Genomic DNA, 19,983 nt, shown 5'->3' on the forward strand with positions numbered 1-19,983 from the left:
CCTCGAGGGGTTAGAAACCTGCCCAAGGTCACACAACTGGGCGGGAGGTGCTCAGCCCCACAGACAGCTTCAGAGCTGGAGCACTTGAGCCCACACCTCCCTCCGTGAAGCCAAAACCCGGGTGGGAGGAGAGGACAGATATCAGGGAAGAACCTGCAGATGCCCAGAGCTTGTGCCAATGAGCCTTGCATTTGACAGATTCGAGGGAGTGGGTTCTAGAAAGCACCACTCAACAGCTCACCTAGTGAGCACCTACTATGTGCCACGGGCTTGAGGCAGCAGCCGGCGGGGAGGAGTCCAGGCTTGCCAGCCCAACTCCATGCACCTTCCAGTGACCACACTGTGCCCAGAGGGGTGGGATGTAATTAAAGCTGTGCAGGCTGCTGCTGTCAGGGTAGGCCCTGGGCACCCCGACCTTCAGGCCAGTGGTGGGGGGTCTGTCATCTACGGACTTGTCTACGTTCACTCCACCGCTTCCCAGCGGCGTGCGGTGGACAAGCGTTCCTTTATCTGAGTCTCTATTTCTCTATCAGTGGACACAGGAAAAGAAATAGCTACCTTCACGTCTAAGGATGGAAGGAAATAGTGATGGTGAAAATGCTGGCTCTGTGCCCGGCCCAGAGTACATGTTCTGCCAATGTTCATTTCCTTCCTGAACCCTAAAGTACGGTGTCCCCTCCAGGGAAGGGGCTCCACCACCCTCAGTGCTGGCTGATGCCCCAGGCCCATCTTGGTCAGACAGCTAACTTTACCCTGTGAGCCTGGAAGGTGGAAAACACCAGACAGCCTTCTTTTGGCTTAAGAAATGGAACAAACCAGGCTGGCCATGGTGGCTCATGCCTGTAAGCCCAGTGCTTTGGGAGGCCGAGGTGGGAGGATCGCTTGAGGCCAGGAGTTCAATACCAGATTGGGCGACATGGTGAGACCCCCTCTTCACCAAAAAAAAAAAAAAAAAAGAAGGAAAGTTGGGAGGCTGAGGCAGGTGGATTGCCTGAGATCAGGAGTAACACGGTGCCTGGGCAATATGGTGAAATCCCATCTCTACGAAAATACAAAAGAAATTAGCTGGGCATGGTGGCAGGCACCTGTTGTCCTAGCTACTTGGGAGGCTGAGGCAGGAGAATCGCTTAAACTCAGGAGGCGGAGGTTGCAGTGAGCCGAGATCGTGCCACTGCACTCCAGCCTGAGCAACAGAGCAAGACTCCATCTCTACAAAAAAAAAAAAAAAAAAAAGAAGGAAAGAAAGAAAAAGTAAAAGAGAAATGGAACAAACCAACCGAAGAAGAGGAAGGGGCTAGGGAGGGGGCAGTTTGCAGCTGGAAGGGAGTGGACCCAGGTGGTAGCTGGCTGTGGCTGGGTGCAGCGGGCCTTCTCCTGCACCCCAGGCTGGAGCATAAGGAAGGCCCAGAGCCCAGGACCCAGGTCTATCCTCTCACCATCAGATCTGCCCAGTACTGGACATCCTGGTCTTTGGTCAGGTTCAGCCCTTGTTTCCAGGCCTCACTGGGTTCAGGTAGAGATTCACAACTTAACAGAAGCCATCATATACATGTGGGGCCCAAGTCAGCTGGCCCTGCTGCACAGCACCCCCAAACCTTGCACCCCACAGGCCTGAGGGCTCAATCTTATTAATATATAACCTGCGGCAGGTTGGGAGGCTTTTCCTTGAACTCCCACCCTGGCTGCTACTAACCCTCACTGTGGGGACCACCAGAGGGGCAAACCTGAGGGTGGCCTCAGGGTGGCTCAGAGGGCAGCTGCTGCCCAGAGGCTGCCTTCGACTGCTCCCTCTACGTCTGTCTGACTGCTGATGTTTCATTTTGTTTTGGAGACAGGGTCTCGGTCGGTTGCCTAGGCTGCAGTGCAGTAGCATAATGTTGGCTCACCGCAGCCTCGACCTCTGGGGCGCAGGTGATCCCTCCACCTCAGCCTCCTGAGTAGCTGAGATCACAGGCGTGCACCACCAGCTAACTTTTGTATTTTTAGTAGAGATGGGGTTTCACCATGCTGGCCAGGCTGGTCTTGAACTCCTGACCTCAAATGATCTGCCTGCCTCAGCCTCCCAAACTGCTGGGATTAGACGCCTGAGCCACCATGCCCGGCTTGCTAATGTTTCAATCATGCATCTCTCCCTGCTCATTCATGCACATCTTTCCATTGCTCTTAACAAGCGTCAGGTGAACGCAGCGTCTTAAAAACAGTTGAGAAGATGCTTCTTTCTGAGTGTGGACTTGGAGGTGTGACTACCACTGCTGGTCCCTTCCAGGGGCACTTGTGCCTCCAGGGTCTTAGGCCACCTCTGGCCAGGTGCTAGGGAGGATGGAGAGGCTGATGGGCACCCATTTGCCAAGGAAAAGGACCCACTGCCCGCCGCCCGGCTGGCAGCAGCCAGCTCTGCTCTCAGCTTAACAAATGGGCACATTCTTACTTCAAAGGCGCATTCATATTCTCCAGCAGCTTTCAAGAGCCCTTTGAATCGCGCTTTTAAAAACCCTCTGTTCATTGCTGTCATCACTCGTTTGTTTTAAAACAATAACGATCCAGCCCCTGGGTGATTAAATCCCTTCCATGTGGGGCTGACTCAGAGCCAGAACAGTCAGAGGGGCTGGGCAGTGTGTGTATCTGCATGCACACATGTGCATATGTGTGAGCACACACACACGCGCGAGCACGCACACGCTCTGCGCCCAGACGCCCTCGCCTCTGTAAACCTGCTCACTGGGCAATTTCCTCCCAGGTCCGCGTTTGCCAGTTCATTCTTCAAGCCCTCCCGGGGGTGCCAGCCTGCAGCAGAATGACTTTTGCTTGGATGGGTTGACTCCAGAGGCTGCTGGAGATAATGACTCTGGGGAGGAGGAGAGGGAAGGGGAGGCCTTTCCCTGAGAGCCTGCTGGGTACCAGGCCCTGGGCTGGGGGCTCCACATCCCTCGCCTCCTGTGGTCCTCACAAGGTTCCTCTCCCCAAGCTCCTGCGGTGAAGTCACCCCCTCCCGAAAGTCAACCTGCCCCCTGGATACAGGGATCCTGGGAGGGACGCCCTACCTAGGACTCTGAGCAGTGACAGCTGATTTTCCTCCAGGACCTGCCTCGTCTGAAAGCAAGAGATGGCAGGGGGCTGGCAGGGTGTGTGCTGTAGGAAGAATGACAGACTGAGGGGAAGAAGATGCTGCTGGGATAACAGAACGTGTGGACGTGTCTATGTGTGCACGTGTTTATGTGTGCAGGTGTGTGTGTGTGCAGGTGTGTCTGCATGTATGTCCATGTGTGGACATTCACATATCTGTGAATGTCAATGTGTGTGTCAGTGCACATCTGTGTGTGCAAGCCTTTGTGTTCAAGTATGTGTGTCTGTGGTCTGTTTCTGTGTGCACATATCTGTGTGTATGTGTGTGTATTTATGTGCAGGGACAGATTTCTGTGTTGTGAATGCTCAGGAGGGTAGCACAAACCAGTGACCTTGAGAAAGTTACTTAACCTCTTTGTACCTCATTTTCCTTAGCTATAAATTGGAGATGTGTTTGCTTTGAAGATTAAATACATTAATAAATATATAGTGCTTAGAACAGAGCCTGGCACGTGCTAGGAGGGGTGGCTATTAACACTATTGATCTATATAAAGATGGACAGATCAGCCCAGAGAGAAGAGCTCATATCCTGTTGGCAGCTGCCAGTGGCTCCCCTCAGCCTTAGTACTAGGATGGTGCAGTAAACAACCTGTGCAACTGTACACAACAGCCCTGTTAGCCACCCTCTCTGTGGAAAAGGAGATAATTGAGAAGGAAGGAGAATTGTGGATAGAAAGAATCAACGTTATAAAGATGTCATTCTCTTAAACTTTTCTTCACCTCAAACACACACACATACACACACACACACACACACACATACACATACGAAGGAATTTTTTTAAGTAGGCAAAGTGATTCTACAGTTCACATCAAAACAACAACCATGAAAGAATAGCCAAACAAATTCTGAAAAAGTATAGCAAACAGAGGAAACTAGCATAGACATTTAACTACATTACAAAGCTGCAATAATGAAAACAGTGCCTTCTTGTAAAATAGACTGATGAAGAAATAGTCCGGGAGTCTAGAAATAGACCCAAATACATACGAGGAAATTTAATGTATGATGAAAGTAGAATTTCAAATCAGTGGGTAATACACCAATTAGTCAATAAATGGTTTTGAAACAGCTAGGGAACCATTTGGGGATAAAAAAATAAAGATGAATCTCTTTCTGGCACTTTTACCTCAAAATAAATGCTGGATGGATCAATGTTTTAAACATGAAAAATGAAATTCTAAAAGACCTAGAAAAAAAATCAGAGATTTAAAAATATACTGTCTTGGCAAAGCAATGTACTCGCCAAGTACTTTCTAAGTACTATGCAAGCTCCAAAAGGTCATAAAACAGATTGATACCTTCAACTACACAGAAATTCTGCCTGGAAAAAAAAAAACCCTCATAAACAAAAAGAAGTGACAAATGACAAACTGGGGAAAGATATTTGCAACTGTTATCACGGGCAAAGAGCTAATTTTCCTGATATAGAAATGTTCCCACAAATCAGTAAGAAAAAGATTAACAAACCAATAGAAAAATGGGCAAAGGATATGAAGTTCGCAGAAGAGAATTACAAATGCCCCTGGAACTCACACAAAGATGCTCAGCCTCATGATAAGAAAAAGGAAAACTAAAATTCAATAAGATACCATTTTTTCCCTTATCACACTGGCCAAGATGTAAAAGTGTGATATTCTGGGCTGGTGAATTTGTAGAGCAACAGGCACCCTCGCAGACAGCTTTGCGGGACTGTAGCTTGGTACGCCCTCTACGAGAGCAATTTGGCAATGCTATCAAAGCTAAAAATGCACACATCCTCCAATTCGCCAACTCTTCAAGGAATTCACCCTCCACAGACTCACTTGTGCATGTGTGAAATGACAGTACTTCAGAGCCGCTCAGCTTATAACAGCAAAAGCTTGGAAATGGCCTGAATGCCTATCAAGAGGGCACTGCTTAAAGAAACGATTGTCCCTCCAAACAACAGAATTCTGTGCAGCAGACGGCGCCTGAGCGATCTTTGAGAACTACTGGTAAGTGACAAAAACAAGAATAGGGTGGATAAGCTCAGGCATGGAATAGGGTGGATAATCTGCTACTGTTTACGTAGAAGCTTTTCTTCTTCAAGTATAAAAATCAATTTGCTTGTATTGGCACAGGCTTTTTCTAGTGGCTCCATGAAAAATGGATCCCAGTGACACTTGAGGGAGGTCTGGGTGCCCGGGGACTTGGGTTGGGGGACTAGCTTTTCACTCTATACCTTTGTGTAACATTGATATTGTGGACCACAGGTATGAATTACTTATCTATGATCAGATATATGTATACATGTGCATACGTGTATGTGAGTGTGCATGGTAAGCTGTTCACAGGGTGATCCCATTGATGACAGGGAAGAGGACAGACCCTCTGTGTGTCATTTAGGCATGTCACGTGGCTCGGAGGTCCCGGACCAGCAGAGCCTGAGCTGCTTAAATGAAGAGCGGCCTTCAGAGGCCAGCAAGAGGCCTCAGCCCGGGGCTTCCTTGTAATTTCCCATAACAGGTCAGGGGATCGCTGACTGCCATCTTCCCTTGATATTCGCACTAAATACCCCCATTGTCCTCCCTAGGCTCCAGGCTAAATGGCCCCATACAGAAGCCAATCTCAACTTCAACTTTTCCCCTTCTCTGCAAAATAATGTCATCTTTCTCTGGAGTCCCCAGGCTGTGTCCATCTCACTGTTCAGGGGATTTGACTTCCCAGCCAGCCCAGCCCTGGGAACCGCACCTCCTGTGGAGCCATTCTGCTGGGAATGGGTCGGTGGGTGGAGGAAGGGGGTGATGGCTTCTGCCAGCCACCTAATTGGCCAAATGATGTCCATCTGCCCTCCAGAATAAGCTGCAGGGAGTACCAAGCCTGGACAAACTCCCTTCCCAGCTCTGAAACATGCAGAAACCTCTCTCTTTTTGCGGCTTCTTCTCAGGCATAGAATAAGGGCTCAGTCATCACGAGCTTCCCTGGAATGCTTGGAAACAGGGTGGGAGCTGGGATTTCTAGACTCGCAAACTTTTCTCCCACCATCTCCTAGTCTTGGCCCCACCACCGTGTCCTGGACTGATTACCACGGCCTCTTAATGGGTGCCAGGGGTGGAAACCTGTGCTCCTTACCCCTGGTGGACCACACACCTGAGCAGGATGGACCCGGGGTCAGAGGGAGCAGGGGCTCAGGGTGGGCTGCTCTCACCAAACCTCACTTCTCTCCAAACTTCTAGTCTTGCTGCTGCCTTTATTCCATACTAACCATGGAACTTTCTATCCATGAAGCACTTTACATTCATCATCTTAGTTAAGAGGCCTGAGTTCATCTCAAGGAAACCACTATCATTTTCCCCATTTTAATAGGAGAAAACCAACGCTCAGAAAGGTTCTGTAACTGGACTCTGCCACATAGACATAAGCCAAGATCTGGCAGGTTCCAGAGCTCTGGATCTTTCTATTATTAGCATAAGACTTCCCAAAGCTGTCTCACCCTTCATACCCCAACCTGTAGCACCAGGGGTGGTGAGAGGGACGGGGGACATTCAAGGAGGTTGGTGGCCTCTCTCAGGGAACTGGTTTTGACTCCACAAGCAAAGGTCACGCAGCATTCATACTCCAGCCTGCGATGTCACAGCCCCAGAGCCAGATTCTGGGATGAGGGCGAAACAGGCGGCCCAGCTGGGAATGAGTCCTGCGAATTAGCTAGAAGGATAAGGAGGCAGAATATCCCAGAAGAGACTGGTCCGCCCAGGGGGTGAGGGTTTCAGGTGGATGAGCTAAGAAAGGGCAGGGAGAGAAGCCTGGAAATGGAGGTCAAATAGCACAGAAGATGAACGCATGCAGGCGTGGGGGCCAAGTAAAATGAAGCAGAGGCCAGAGCCTTAGGGGCTTCTTGGGAAGAAGGGGCTAAGCTGGGGGACCCCACCCTGCAGCCCTGCTCCCGAGGAACCACCTTTTCAAGAATCTGGCTTGAAGATCCCAGTGGGAGAAGATAAATTGGGTTTACATCCCATTTCCATGCTAACTAGAGTTTGACCTTATGCAAATTCACCTCCTGGGCCTTACCTGTCTCATCAGTGAAACAGATGGAAACTCCTGCCCCAGAGCCTGCAGGAGGATCAAATGAGCTAATGTGGGTGAGGTTGGAGCCACAGTGCTTGAAGCCTCAGAGGTGCCCCTTTCTGTCACACAAACCATTGGGGGTGACCACATAGGAAGGAGATGGGGAAAGAGGGGCAGGGGCTGTTATGATCATTCCACCTGTTTCCCGCTTCTCAGAACCATTCCCCTAAGAAGCCCGCAGTCTCTTGAAGTTCTTACGTCTGAGGCTTCCAAATTCAGCCCCCTCAATGCCATTCTAAGCTGGCTCAAAAATTGGGTCTTGCCTGGGATGGCTCATAAGGTTTTGAGCAGGGTCAGGACTGGTAGAGACAGCTGGAGCCTGGGGAGGGGTTGCAAACGCCTGCGTGGATTGGTCCCACAACATTGGTCAAACCCAGGTGGGAGATGGTACTGGTCAGGGTGCCGAGGGCCCAGGAGGAGGCTGCTGTGGCCCTGTTCGGCCCCTGCCCTTCAGAAGAAATGTCTGCACGTCATACACTAGCTAGGTGGGGCAGGGACTCTCTAGCTGCCTGATAAAGGCTGCAGGGCCTGGGGCTCCTGGCGAGTCCCTTCCCTCTCCCAGCCCCATGCCTGGCAAGGCCTCTTGCTCCTGCCTCACCAGCCAGGGCCCCAGAGCACCCTAGCCCCCTCCCCTTGGATTCCCTCCTCCTCCCTTCTCCCACAAATGAGATGCTAATTTATGCCCCTCCCTGTATCCTAGCAGATGCCTGGCCCAGCTCTGGCCCCGGTGCTGCCTGCATGCCAAGCGCTTCATTAGCCGGGAAAGAAGACTCTTGCCCTCCTTCGTCTAATCCTCGCCAGTGACCTTCAGGAACCAGGCACCTTCTGACGTTGGGAGCCTGGGATGGTGCAATCATCAATTACGCCGTGGCCTCCGCAGCTGTTCCTGAATGGATTTCTTGCTCAGAGAAGCGTGTTTGAAAAGCATCTAATGGAACGGATCATCAATTTGTTTGAATACACATCTAATCTGATTAGGGGGGCACTGGCCACCAGGGCAGCTAGTGCAACTGAGCCTTGACATGGCCCCAGGGAATCATAAGTGGGGTGGCGGGGCCAGTCTAGGGAAGGAGGGCTGTGTGCCCTGGGCCTGCCACCGAGCCCTCCTTGAGCTCAGCCCATGGTACGTCCAGCCAAAAAAGTCACAGAGAAAAGCAGAACACATCACACAGATGCCAGGAGAGCTGGGCCCAAGACTCCTGTTTTTCTATAGCCCTGGCACTGGGCACAGAGCCTGAGACAAAGAAGATGCTTGGGAAATATGTGGCAAATGAATGACAGTAAGGCCCAACATGGAAGCCAAGGGATGTTTAATAAAGTCATCTGTGGGACAAGACTAGGTGATGCCTGTATTGGGTTGAATATGTCTCCCCCAAATTCATGTCCTTCCCAAAACCTCAGAATGTGACCTGATTTGGAAATCGAGTCTTTGGAGATGTAGTTTGTTAAGATGAGGTCACGCTGGAGTAGGATGGGCCTTCCGTGACTGGTGTCTTGGTAGGAGGAGAAGAAACACAGGGAAAGAGACACACAAGGAGAAGACAAGAGCCAAGTAAAGACAGAGGCAGGGACTGAAGCGACGCATCTACCAGCCAGGGAATGCCAAGGACTGCTGGGAGCCACCAGGCAGGCCTAGGACGGGGGCAGGACGGAGTCTCCCGTTGAGCCTGCAGAAGGAGCATGCCCCTGTCACCCTGATTTCAGACTTCTGGCCTCCAGAACTGTGAGAGAACAGATTTCTGCTGTTTAAAGCCACCCAGCTTATAGTGCTTTGTCATGGCAGCCCAGGAAACTCATGCAATGCCTACAGGAAGCTTTGTCCGTCATTCCACAGAAGGCAGCATGGCAGAGAACCAGAAGGAAGTCCGAGCCCTGCCTCGCTGGATGTAGCTGGTCCTTCCCAGACACATCACGTGCGCCATGCCACTCTCTTCCCTGGGGAGCCCTTTCTTACCTTCTTTACCAGGAAAATGTTGGTTTTCAATCCATGTTAGTTCCTGTCCAGCACCCCTTCAAAGCTCAAATGCCATGCCCTCTGTAACTCTTCTCCAGATGTCCTCCTCAGACTCCTGAGATCGCCTCCCTCCCAGCATGCTTGGTGATTCCCATGCTACATCCCCCACTGCTGGGCACACTGGGGCTCCCTCATCTTCCTAGCCCCAGAGCCTGGCAACAGCCTGGCCTGCAGAAGAGCCCAGATCCATGAGAAAGTGGGCAAGCAAACTTGCTGTGGACCAGCGGGTCCCTCCCTTCTTGGGAGTGGACCAGAATGGAGATCACAAAGTTCCCTTCCAGCCCTGACATTATAAGAGCCGAGTAGCCCTCTGGGGGATGACCTTACTGGGCCCTGTAATGGGACCACCTGGGTTCAAACCCAGTGGACTCTGCCACTCACAGGCTGTGTTTCCCTGGGCATCATTCTGTAACTCTGCTGCACCTCTCCTGAAAAATAGGGATAGCAGTGCCTACCTCGTTGGCCTATGGAAAGGGGTAAGTGCTTCAACCAGTGCCTGGCACAGAGAAAGAGCCCTTGGAAAGAAGGCTGTTATTATTCCTCATCTTGGCTTGGTGCAGCCTCTGCAAGCCCTTCTCATAGCCGGGGCCTCCTGTTTGAACCACACAGGTAAACAGGGCCAAAGCACCTCCAACCTTGCATGGAAAAAAGACGGTTCTCATTTCCAATAGGTTTATTTTGCAGTTAACAGAGGGGAAGGGAGCTCTTTCTTACATTTCCCTTGGAGGGTTCAGAGATTAAACTTATACCATCGATTAGAATGTTTTGGCCTAACGGTGCTAGTATCATTTTAGTGTATTCAGATTCATTTGAGCTATAAAAGTGGCGATAATAAAATGTTCACTAAGTCCTGGAATTCCTCCCAAGAAGCCCGATGGTGTTACATGGACCACAGTCCTCTTCCCCTCAGTGGCCCCAAGGCAGGACAGCATGCTTGGAGCAATTCTCCAGTTTTACAGCTGAGACTTGAGACCCCCTAGAAATTGATCAATGGCCTGGCCGGCCTGGGTGGCTTCATGAGACTCAGCTCTGCCTCACCTCTGTCACCCTTCTCACAGGTGACTTTGTCCACCATGCAGGTACCACTCTTCTGCCCATCCCCTAAGCCTGGGGACTCTGGTGACAAAGAGACACTGTCTTCCTACAGGTCTGCAGGAGCCCAGAGCGAGGACTCATAGGCCCAGGGATGCGTCCAAGAACCCACAGCCTGGGGGTCTCCAGTGTCTACCTCCTTGGTCAGCGATGGTGCCACCAGATGCAGGGCACGGAAGGCTGTGCCGTGAGGAAGGACCAGCACCCCAGAGCTCTGGCTGGCATGCTTCCCAGGGGCAGCCCCTGTTCCTCCTCTTGCCCACCCTTGGAGACGGGCCATCACCTAAGAGGAGGGAGAGATGGAAGCTGGGGGAAGATGGGAGCTAGGGGCAGTGGCTCTGACTTAACACCAGCATTGGTTTCCCAATATTGAATAAAGAGGGCTGAGCTGGACAGCAGGTGTCCTTAGGGGCTTGACCTCACCACCCCCAGACGGGGCCTGTCTGCCCAATTTCAGGGGCTTCTCCTCAATTTCCTGGCTTCAGGGCGAGGCTGCTCAGCCCAGGGACAAGAAGGAAAGATGGGTATTTGTTAAAGGCCTACTCCACACTGAGCAGCGCATGTTTACCCATTTAATCCTCCCAGCCTCCTTAGGGGAGTGCTATGAGGACTTCTCTTTTATTTCTCTCATCTGAAGCTCAGATGAGAGAGGTACCCAGTCACATGTGTGTCAGTGGCAGAGCTGGGTTTTGAACCCATAGCCGCCTGCCTCCATGCAAGGCCTCTGACCTCCCCTCTGTCCAGGCTGCGTTTGGAGCCCAGGAACAGATTCCAAGGCTGGGCCCCGCAGGGAGGAAAAAACAAAGCACGAGTCGCTCTCTGCACGGAGGCTGAGAGATGGAGCCACCGCTGAGGAAGAACACACATTCATCAGGCTGGTGACCCCGGTGTACCAGCGCTTTGTGGCGTGTAACAAAGACTGCCGAGCAGAAAATTGGAGTTCAATTTGCCGTCCATCCTGCACGCAGTGCTCAGCCCATTCTAGTCCCTGGCAGGCACCTCTGTGCTTTATCATAAATAATAACACCACGCGGCTCTATGGCCCTTTCCGCAGTTACAGTCCCCGAGCAATTTACAAGCCAGATTATACACAGAAGCCTGCACATGCCTGCCGGCCAGCACACACCACACACACGCGGCCTCCTCCCCAGTCACTCCTAGGGCCCACGGCCATCCTGGTGTCACCCATCTGGGGCTGCACCCAATCTGGAGGGAAGCAGGCCGTTGTGCACCCCTGGACACTGGGCTCTGCTCCTGCCCTGGTCACCTTCTTTATCCCTTTTACTGGCTCTCATGGTTGGCAGAGAACCCACGAGGTCTGGTGGCCCACTGCCCCTTGCTGGACCAAGGTCAAGGCCACTTCCCCTCTCTTTCTTTCCGTTTTAGAAGGAGCTTCTGGACCTCCTCCCCTCCAATCAGCAGTGGCCCTTTGTCTCTACCACAGGGAGTCCCGTCTCTCCTCAGAACTTATTGGGAGTAGTGGGGGGGTGCAAAAGCAGCAACAGGGACCCACAAGTTCAACCGCTCGCTTCACAGACGAGACCCCTGGGGCCCAGAGAGGTGCAGCAGCTTCCCTGAGGACTCTGCATCAGCTGCTGAGCTGAGACCAAAGCCCAGGACCACCGGCACCCAGTCCACTACACAGCGGAGCCCCAAGGAGGGAGGTAAACAAAGGTCTAGGGCAGACTGGGCTGCTCCCTCTGAGCATCTAGAAACTTCCCCAGAAGCAGAAGCTTCAGGCAGGGCCTGGAGGGGCTCCAGCAGCAGCTCCTTCCCCCTCTTGCCATCAAACTAAATAAGAGGTCAACTATTGTATGATGCCATTTATATGAGATATCCAGAGTAGGTAGATCCATAGAGATGGGGCTCAGATTGGTGACTGGCAGGTGGTTGGGAGAGAGGGGAATGGGGAGTGACTGTGAGTGGGTACAGGCTTCCTTCTGGGGTGATGAAAGTATTCTGGAACTCAGTGGTGGTTGTACATCATTGTGAATGTACTAAGTGCCACTGAATTGCTCACTTGAAAATGATTTTTTTTTTTTTTTTTTTTTTGAGACCGGGTCTCGCTCTGCTGCCCAGGCGGGAGTGTGGTGGTGCAATCATAGCTCACTGCAGCCTTGAACTCCCAGGCTCAAGTGATCCTCCACTTTAGCCTCTCGAGTACCTGGGACCACAGGCGCGTGCCACCATGCTTGGCTAATATTTTGTATTTTTAGTAGAGATGAGGTTTTGACACGTTGCCCAGGCTGATCTCGAACTCTTGGACTCAAGCAATGTACCCACCTCGGCCTCCCAAAGTGCTAGGATTAAGGCATGAGTCAGTCTTAAAATGGCTAATTTTATGTCATGCAAATCTTATCCCCATCAAAAAAATAAAAAAAAATAAAAAACATACAATGGGTGCCAGGTGTCGTGTGGCCTCCTACTTCCCCTCCTCTCCCTGCCAGCCCCATGCAGTTCTTGGGAAGAAGACTAAAAAGCAACTCCAGGTGCTGTGCTCCTTCCTGTGCTAATCCATCATCTGGCTCCTGCCTTCCTGCCTCCCGCCCTTGCCCTGCCTGTACTCAGGAGCTTCTCCCATGTGTGGGCTCAGGCGCTGGGTCTCCTCTGGGTTCTGGAGGGTGGGGATGCATTTCCAATCACTCTCAAGTTTGCAGGCCATTTGCAATGACAGAAGGCCTTGGTTTTGCTAGAGGATGGGAGTTGGGGGCGGGGGTGAGCCCCAACTCCACATTTACAGACTGCTCGAGACAGAGTCAACACCTGTTTTCTGAGCCACAGTCTCCTGGCGCGTACCAGGAAGTCCTGTGACACCTCCCTTGCTGGGTTTTGTTAGGATTCAATGCCATAGAACTGGAGAAAAACCCGGGGACACTTTGCCTGGCTGAGGGCTTGGCACACAGAGATCATAGGAACCAGGCAGGTGCCAGGCCTCGTGCTGGTGCGTCAAGTGTATTTTCTTATTTGCACCACACAGCAATGCTGTGGAGTCGGAACTATTCACGGCCTCACTTTACAGAGGAGGGCACTGAGGCTTGGAGAGTTGAGTGACTCCCAAGATTACATAATGGAAGTGGAATGGAAGGTGTTGCAGGTCCACATTAAAGGTTTGTTTTTTTGCTCCTTCCACAAGGCCGGTGTCATCAAAGACCAACCCAGAGTGTGCAACTCTGAGCGCCCCGGAGAGAGAAGGCAGGGCTTTGCTTTGGCGGAGCTCCAGGGTGGGCGGATGGGCTGCCCCAAAGGCAGGGAGGAGAGATGCTGTGCTGACCCCTGCCCCAGGCTGCAGCCACCTCTGCTGCCCACCTCATCCTGGCCTGGCTGCTCATGTGCCTGGTGGCAGGTGGCATTCCCAGACAACAGCCTGGCCCACCTGCTTGGGGAAGCAGAGGAGTCTGCTGAAGGGGGGCAGTTGGTGGTGGGGAGGGCCAGGCGGCAGGCCCCCACATTCCAGGGGACTGTATTCATTATCCTTGCCTGGGAACCAGCTGGGGTTCTCTGCCGTCTCTGCTCTTCTGCTTTGAAAACACATAGCCCATCTGTGGTAGAGGAAAGGTGGCTGAACCAACATCTGCAGGAGAAGGTGATGGTATGTGGACTCTGCTACCGCCTCCTGATGGTTATCCATCCAGGGAGGTCAGCAGCTCCCCTTGCTTCTCTCGCTCAATGTCATGTCCTCAGATTTAATCAGCACCACCCCACCCACCCCCGCTCCTCTCTGGAGGAACCTGGGGCCAGCAGCTGATACCAGGGAAGAGGAGAGAGACAGAAACACAAGGAAATTCATACTAATGAGAGAGCAGACTGGGCTCACCCTGAGCATCTCCATGGTGCCAAGGTTCACATTCAAATGGAGTTTGTGTCTCTGTCTCTGGTCCCCAGCTCCTCTTGCGGGTGGGATGAGGCAGGAAGAGGCAGCTGAGGCTGGACATCAGGGAAAGCCCTGGGCTGGAGGCCAGGCCCTGTCCCGGCTGTGGCTGCCACAGCTTCTTAGCTTCTCTAGTGGGAAGCATCTGTGGAACTCATCTAGCCCAACCTCTCTTGCTGGCAGATGGGAAAACCGACGCAGAAGAGACCAAGGGAGAATTGGAGCTAGATTTTGATACCAAGTCACTCTGTCTCACTTGATAGCTCTTAGCCTCATTTTTTCCACCTGTTAAAATGGGCATGAAGGTTTCACAGTCACCTGCTGTCCCCTTCCAAGTCTAGGCTCTGCAATTGGGCCTTTTTGAGGATGTCTGGTTATGCCAGGAGAGCCTCTCTTCCCCGAGAGAGACCAAGCTTCCCCTCTTGATGAGGGGAGGGCTGGTGCTGTGGAATGCTCTTCATGGACTTCTGCTATACCCCATATTAAGGGCTGAATTGCACTGAAGTCCTAACCCTGGATACCCGTGGTTGTGATCTTATTTATTATAGAAGTGGTCTTTGCAGATGTAATCAAGTTAAGATGAGGTCATGAGAGGGGACTCTAATCCCACATGACTGATGAGAAACACGCAAGGAGAAGATGGCCACGTGAAGACAGGTGAAGATGGGAACAATGTAGCTGCCGGCATGGGAACGCCAGAATCGCTAGCAGCCCCAGAAACCAGAAGAGGCAAGGATGGGACTTCCCTTACAGACTGCAGAGGGAGCGTGGCCTTGCTGGGCACTTTGATTTCAGCCTACTGGCCTCCAGAACTGCGCGACAAGAAATTTCTGTTGTTTGCAGCCACCCAGTTGAGGTACTTTCTTATAGCAGCAAATGGAACCACCCCCTCACCTGCACCCCCCAAATAACAGGCCAGCACTGCGCAGAGCCCCTTTCTCTATGCAGGTTTCCCAGATGCTGCCCCAGCAGAAGCGAGCCCCCTCTTGTATGCTCACATGTCCATCACGACAGCCCTAAACTTCTGAGAGCCTTACTGGACCTGGTACATCTTGGTCATTTCTGTACCTTCAGTCCTTAATCTGGTGTCTTCCACAGAATAGGACCTCAGTGGACATTGAGCAAGGGAATGAATGAAAGGGATTTTCTCATTTCCAGGCTCTGTGATCATCCCTTACCTGCCCCTGCATCCCTCTGACCTATCGCTTCTCATTCCTACTGGCTACTTCTCCATGCTTGGGCCTCCATTTGCCCTCCCTGGCCCCAGAATCATGTCATGACAGCTGCTCTGCAGTTGGGCCTGAGCTCAGCTAATGGTGACTGACGACATTCTGTGTAGCAGGGACCCTCGGGCAGCAGGATTGGCATGTTGGCAGGAGGCACAGTGTGATTGATAGCCTACGTGTTGATAGGTCCTTTCCAACCCCTTCCCCAGAGGCTGGAGCTTTCTGGCAAGGAGACCAACATGGCCCCCGCCCGCCCCGGCCATTCACCCTTCTTTTTCTGTTGCCTCCCCTCTTTCCCAGAACTAAAATTCCTGCCCTTCCCCTGGTGGGCTGGGGATGAAGGTGGATGGGATGTTTAGTATTCTTGGGCTCAGGCAGAGAATGAGGGGCTCCTTGTATTCCCCTTTTTCCTGCCAGGACACCCACATCCAGACAGAGTGATGTGAGAGTCACACACCTACTGTGCCCTCTTCCCTCTAGCATGACTGGAGCAGGGGGCCTCCTTCCCAGGACCCCTGTCTGCAGTCATGAGGGCCAGGCACCTCTGTGCTCTCTGTGTGTGATCCCTGAGCCCAGGTAGCACGACTGTCCCATTGCATAGATGAGAACACTGATGCTCAAAGACATGAAGTGACTTCACCCAGGTTACACACATGGTCAGTGTAGACCCTGGGATTGGAATGCCAAGCTGTCTATCTCCAAAGCCCACGCTCCTTCCACTACAATGCATGAAGCGGTTTGGAAAGGCAACAGAGCCATCGCTGGGTGCTTCCTCCTCAATCATGCAGACGTTTCAGGCAGGAGCAAGGGTTCCATCTCGCCTCTGCGCACATCATTCCCATGGACTTGGGCTGCCTGGGAAAGGCCAAACCATCACATGCATCCCATGGGTGAGGCCGTGGATGGCTGTCCAAGACTCACCTTCCTAGGCCTGTGTGGCCCTGGGCAGCCAGGCTACTTCTTTGGGCCTCATTCCCTTTAGGGCATGATGAGGCTCGTCTCTGCCCACCCCTCCCCAGGGCACCAAGGAGTAAGCGAGAGCTGGCCTTTGAGGCAAGAAGCCCGGAGAACCATGGGTCTTGTCCCCAGCTGTGTGAGATCCAAGACAGGCTCTCCATGGGGAACTGACACAGGGAGAGGGAGGGCCCCAGAAGCAGCCCTCGAGGGGGTGAACGCCAGGAGGGTCCTAGGAGATCTTTGCTCACTCTAGCCAGGCCAGGGGCACAGCAGGCAGGAGGGCAGGCCGGTAGCTAGGGTTTGGCAATGGACAAAGCCAGCAAGGGAAAGGGAGAGTTTACAGGAAGGCGACAAGTTACCGGAAAGGACAATAAATTAATATAATAGGGTGCTTGGCTGGTGACAGGGAATAAAACACGTGGTCCAAAAAAGCCCCATGTGAGATTGTCAATAGGATGAATGAGAAGGGAAGAGGGAAATGGGGGAAAGAATGGGAACCGGAGGCTCACTGAGCAGCCTGTGGGAGGCGGCGAGGTGGCTCTCCTCACTGCACCACCACCTCCTCTGCCTCTTCTCAGATCAATGCTGGCATCAGAACCTTCTCTCCAAACGGCCCCGCAGGATCCCATCCCTATCCTAGAAGTAATTCCCTCCCTTTTGCACTGGCTCCCCCATCCCTGCCTACCCAAGAAGGCTCCCCCCTACCTTGCCCCCTAGATTTCGGTGCCCTTGACTCCCATCCCATGCAAATGCCCTCAGCTCTTAGCCATAATGCAGAATATGCATTTCAACCATTCATTCTTTCACTCAAAGGTCAATTCATTCATTCAGCAAATGCTTTTTGAGCACGTACTACGTGCCACAAAATGTCAGAGTGAGCAAGAAGGAAATCTCTGCCTTAAGGAGCTCCCAGGCTCACAGGGGAGATGGATGAGCCACTTGGCAGTGGGACAAGTGCGCGACAGAGTGAAGCCCTTGATACATCTGGCTGCTGCGGAGGCACAGCTTACAGGACCGTAATGGCCCTGGGGAAGGTGTCTCCAATGAGCATCCTAAATGGCACAAGCCAGGTGGGGCAGTCGGGAACACTCACAGGCAGACGGTGTCATTTGTGAAAAGCCAGGATGCGTGCAAGGAACGGTGGCTTCTGGGAACTTTAGCTATTTCAGCATGATGGGGCTGGAGGGTGCAGGGTTGGGGGCTGCAAGGTTGGGGGAGATGTGGCCGGCCAGCACAGGGGCCGCAAGAGCAGGCCTGGGTGAGATGAACTCTGATTCAAGCCCTGGCTTTGCCAATTAGGACCTGCATGACCTTGGGCCAGTCAGGTAACTTCTTTGATCTGGTTCCTCTTTGAGGAGAAAGAAGGGGGTGGGAATAATGTATTAATATCTGCTTTGGAGGAGAAAATGCAGACGTATCTCTCAGCTTGGCTTCTGGGCTTTCAATGAATCAATGAATGAATGAATGGTGACGATCAGAGTCCTAGGCTTATAAATTATGCCTAGGTGCTTGGATGTCATCTGTGGGTGGTGGCGAGGCACTGGAGATTTTGAGCGTGTGTGTGTGTACATAGGTGTGTGTGTGCATGTGTATGTGTGCATATGTGTGTGTTTGCATATGTGTGTGTTTGTGTGCATATGTGTGTATTTGTGTCCTGAGGGCTTGTTTGGGTGGCAGGATCAGCCCAAGGCCCCACAAACCCACTTATGTCTCCATCTCCAGCCTTTCTTAGAGGACAGTTACGTGCAGTGTGAGGAAAGATGAAGCTGAGGATGGTCCTGAATAATCTTTGATGAGCATGCAATAAAGGACCCTCAATTCCTCAACACAGAGGATCTCAAAGTCATGACTTGTCTTGTTGACCTTTCCTGATCAGTGAACACCAGTTATAGGCCCTGGCAACACAAAGAGGTGTAGACATGGCCCTGCCTGGAGGCCTTCACAAGCTGGCCTGAGAGATAGGATTCACACTGTGAGGGATGACTAACGGTGTGAGGCATCACCGGGCATGGGCTCACTGCGGATACAGGAGCTAGGCGGATGGGCACTTGGGGAAGAGTGGGGCCACTGAGGATTGGCGGGGCAGTCAGGGGAGCTCCAGGGAGGAAGGGGACCCTGTGAGTCATTTGTTCACGGATCAATCCAATGGCATTGGACTGTCACTCTGCACAGGGGGAGGGGAGCAGGATGATGCAGTCTTGGAGCTCATGGAGCTTAGCATCTACCAAGAAATGCAACGTGAAGCAGGGACTGCAAGAGTGGGGGAAGGGGTGTGGATGGTGTGCAGATGACAGTGGGAATGCATAATGCAAAGGAGAAACCTCTCAAAAAGGTCACCCTTATGGCAGACAGAAGCCAGGCAGAGGGAACAGCAGGGTAGGGAGTTTGGAGGGAAAGACAGCCTGGCCCATTCACATCTGGCTCAGAACTGGAGGGGGACTCCTATGGTTGGAGTCCTAATGGCAAGAAGAGGAAAGGAAGAGGGAACAGGAGAAGAATGCACAGGGCCTGCACTGGCCTCATTAGTGAGCCACATCCAGGCTCCAGGGCTCTATCCTAATGCCGATAAGAAGGCCCTGAAGTGACATTGCCAGCCTGGCAGTTTTCTGCACCCCTCCTGGCAGTGCAGAGGAGCGTGGATGGAAGGAGGTAGGTGTGCCGGCTGAGAGTCTAGTTTGGAGGCTGCTGCTGTAAGACTCCAGGGCAGAGACGATCTCCCAGGGAGAAATACCTCCTTTGGTGGACTTCGTTTTCTTTTCCATCCTATGTGGAAACTGTTCCCTGTCCAGAAGAAAAATGATGCTGAGGGGAGAGGAGGTGGCTTTTTCGCTAGGATTCTGGTGCTGACGATGGGGGTGGTGAGAAGAATGGGGATTGTGGAGCTGTTTTGGAGGTGGAACCAAGAAGACCTGTGTTAGATTGGAGGGCGGGGGTTGTCTGAGGGAGAGGGAAGCGTCAGCAGTGAGGGCGAGGTGACCGAGATGGAAACACCGCAGCTGGTTTGGAGAGAAGATGCCAGGTCCAGTTTTGGGCATGTTGTGGCCAGCTGGTTATCCAGGTGGAACGTTCAGGTGCTAGCCAGTCCTGGACCCCAGAGGAGGGGTGTGGAGCCATCAGTTAGCAAATATAGGGGAACTGGAGCTGCACACCTTTCAAAATTCCCAGAGAGACAGGGGAGAGTGAAGAGGTAGGGAGCCCGGCAGTCTTTGCTGAGTACATCTCCAAAGTCTCCCCGGCTTCTTTTCCCATCCTGGGTTCCTCAGCCCCATTCCTAGTCTGTGCAGGTGCAGTGAAAGAAGTAACACGTATGAAGAGCTTGCAATGTGCCAGGTTGTCCCAGGCGATGCACCAAGTCCACATGACAATCCTCCAAGGTCACTACCACTTCTCTAATAGATGGGGAAGCAGCGATGCAGTGAGGCTGAGGATCTGCCCAAGGTCACTTGGGAGCGAGCAGTGGAGGGATTCACACTTGGGGCCGGTCAAGTCCTTGGCTCCTGCTCTCATCCCAAGGCGACCTACTGCCTCACTAAGCCCCAGGTGAACAGCGAGGGCTGCTTGCTCTCTGTTCTCCACTGTGATCCCCTAAGCCAGGGGCTGAGGCCTTCCACTCCT

At 52.5% G+C, this 19,983-nt stretch overlaps 1 protein-coding gene and 1 long non-coding RNA gene across 6 annotated transcripts in view, besides 1 other annotated feature; one reads left to right on the plus strand and one right to left on the minus strand.

The window, feature by feature from the left end:
• SDK2 (sidekick cell adhesion molecule 2) overlaps nt 1-19,983 on the minus strand; it is a 310,062-nt gene that overhangs the window by 174,306 nt on the left and 115,773 nt on the right. The window lies entirely within an intron of this gene.
• Nucleotides 2,205-3,074: an enhancer, noted in NCBI's record as "H3K4me1 hESC enhancer chr17:71507033-71507902 (GRCh37/hg19 assembly coordinates)". NCBI's record gives its function as "activates a minimal SCP1, AML or CMV promoter by ChIP-STARR-seq in naive H9 embryonic stem cells {active_cell/tissue: H9 hESC(naive)}" and the evidence as "EXISTENCE:reporter gene assay evidence [ECO:0000049][PMID:30033119]".
• SDK2-AS1 (SDK2 antisense RNA 1) lies at nt 4,994-10,081 on the plus strand. Its single transcript, NR_135635.1, has 2 exons — nt 4,994-5,101; nt 7,912-10,081. It is a non-coding gene; the product is annotated as an SDK2 antisense RNA 1 (long non-coding RNA).

The sequence above is a fragment of the Homo sapiens genome, chromosome 17 (genome assembly GCF_000001405.40).
Source record: "Homo sapiens chromosome 17, GRCh38.p14 Primary Assembly".
NCBI classification, from domain to species: domain Eukaryota; kingdom Metazoa; phylum Chordata; class Mammalia; order Primates; family Hominidae; genus Homo; species Homo sapiens.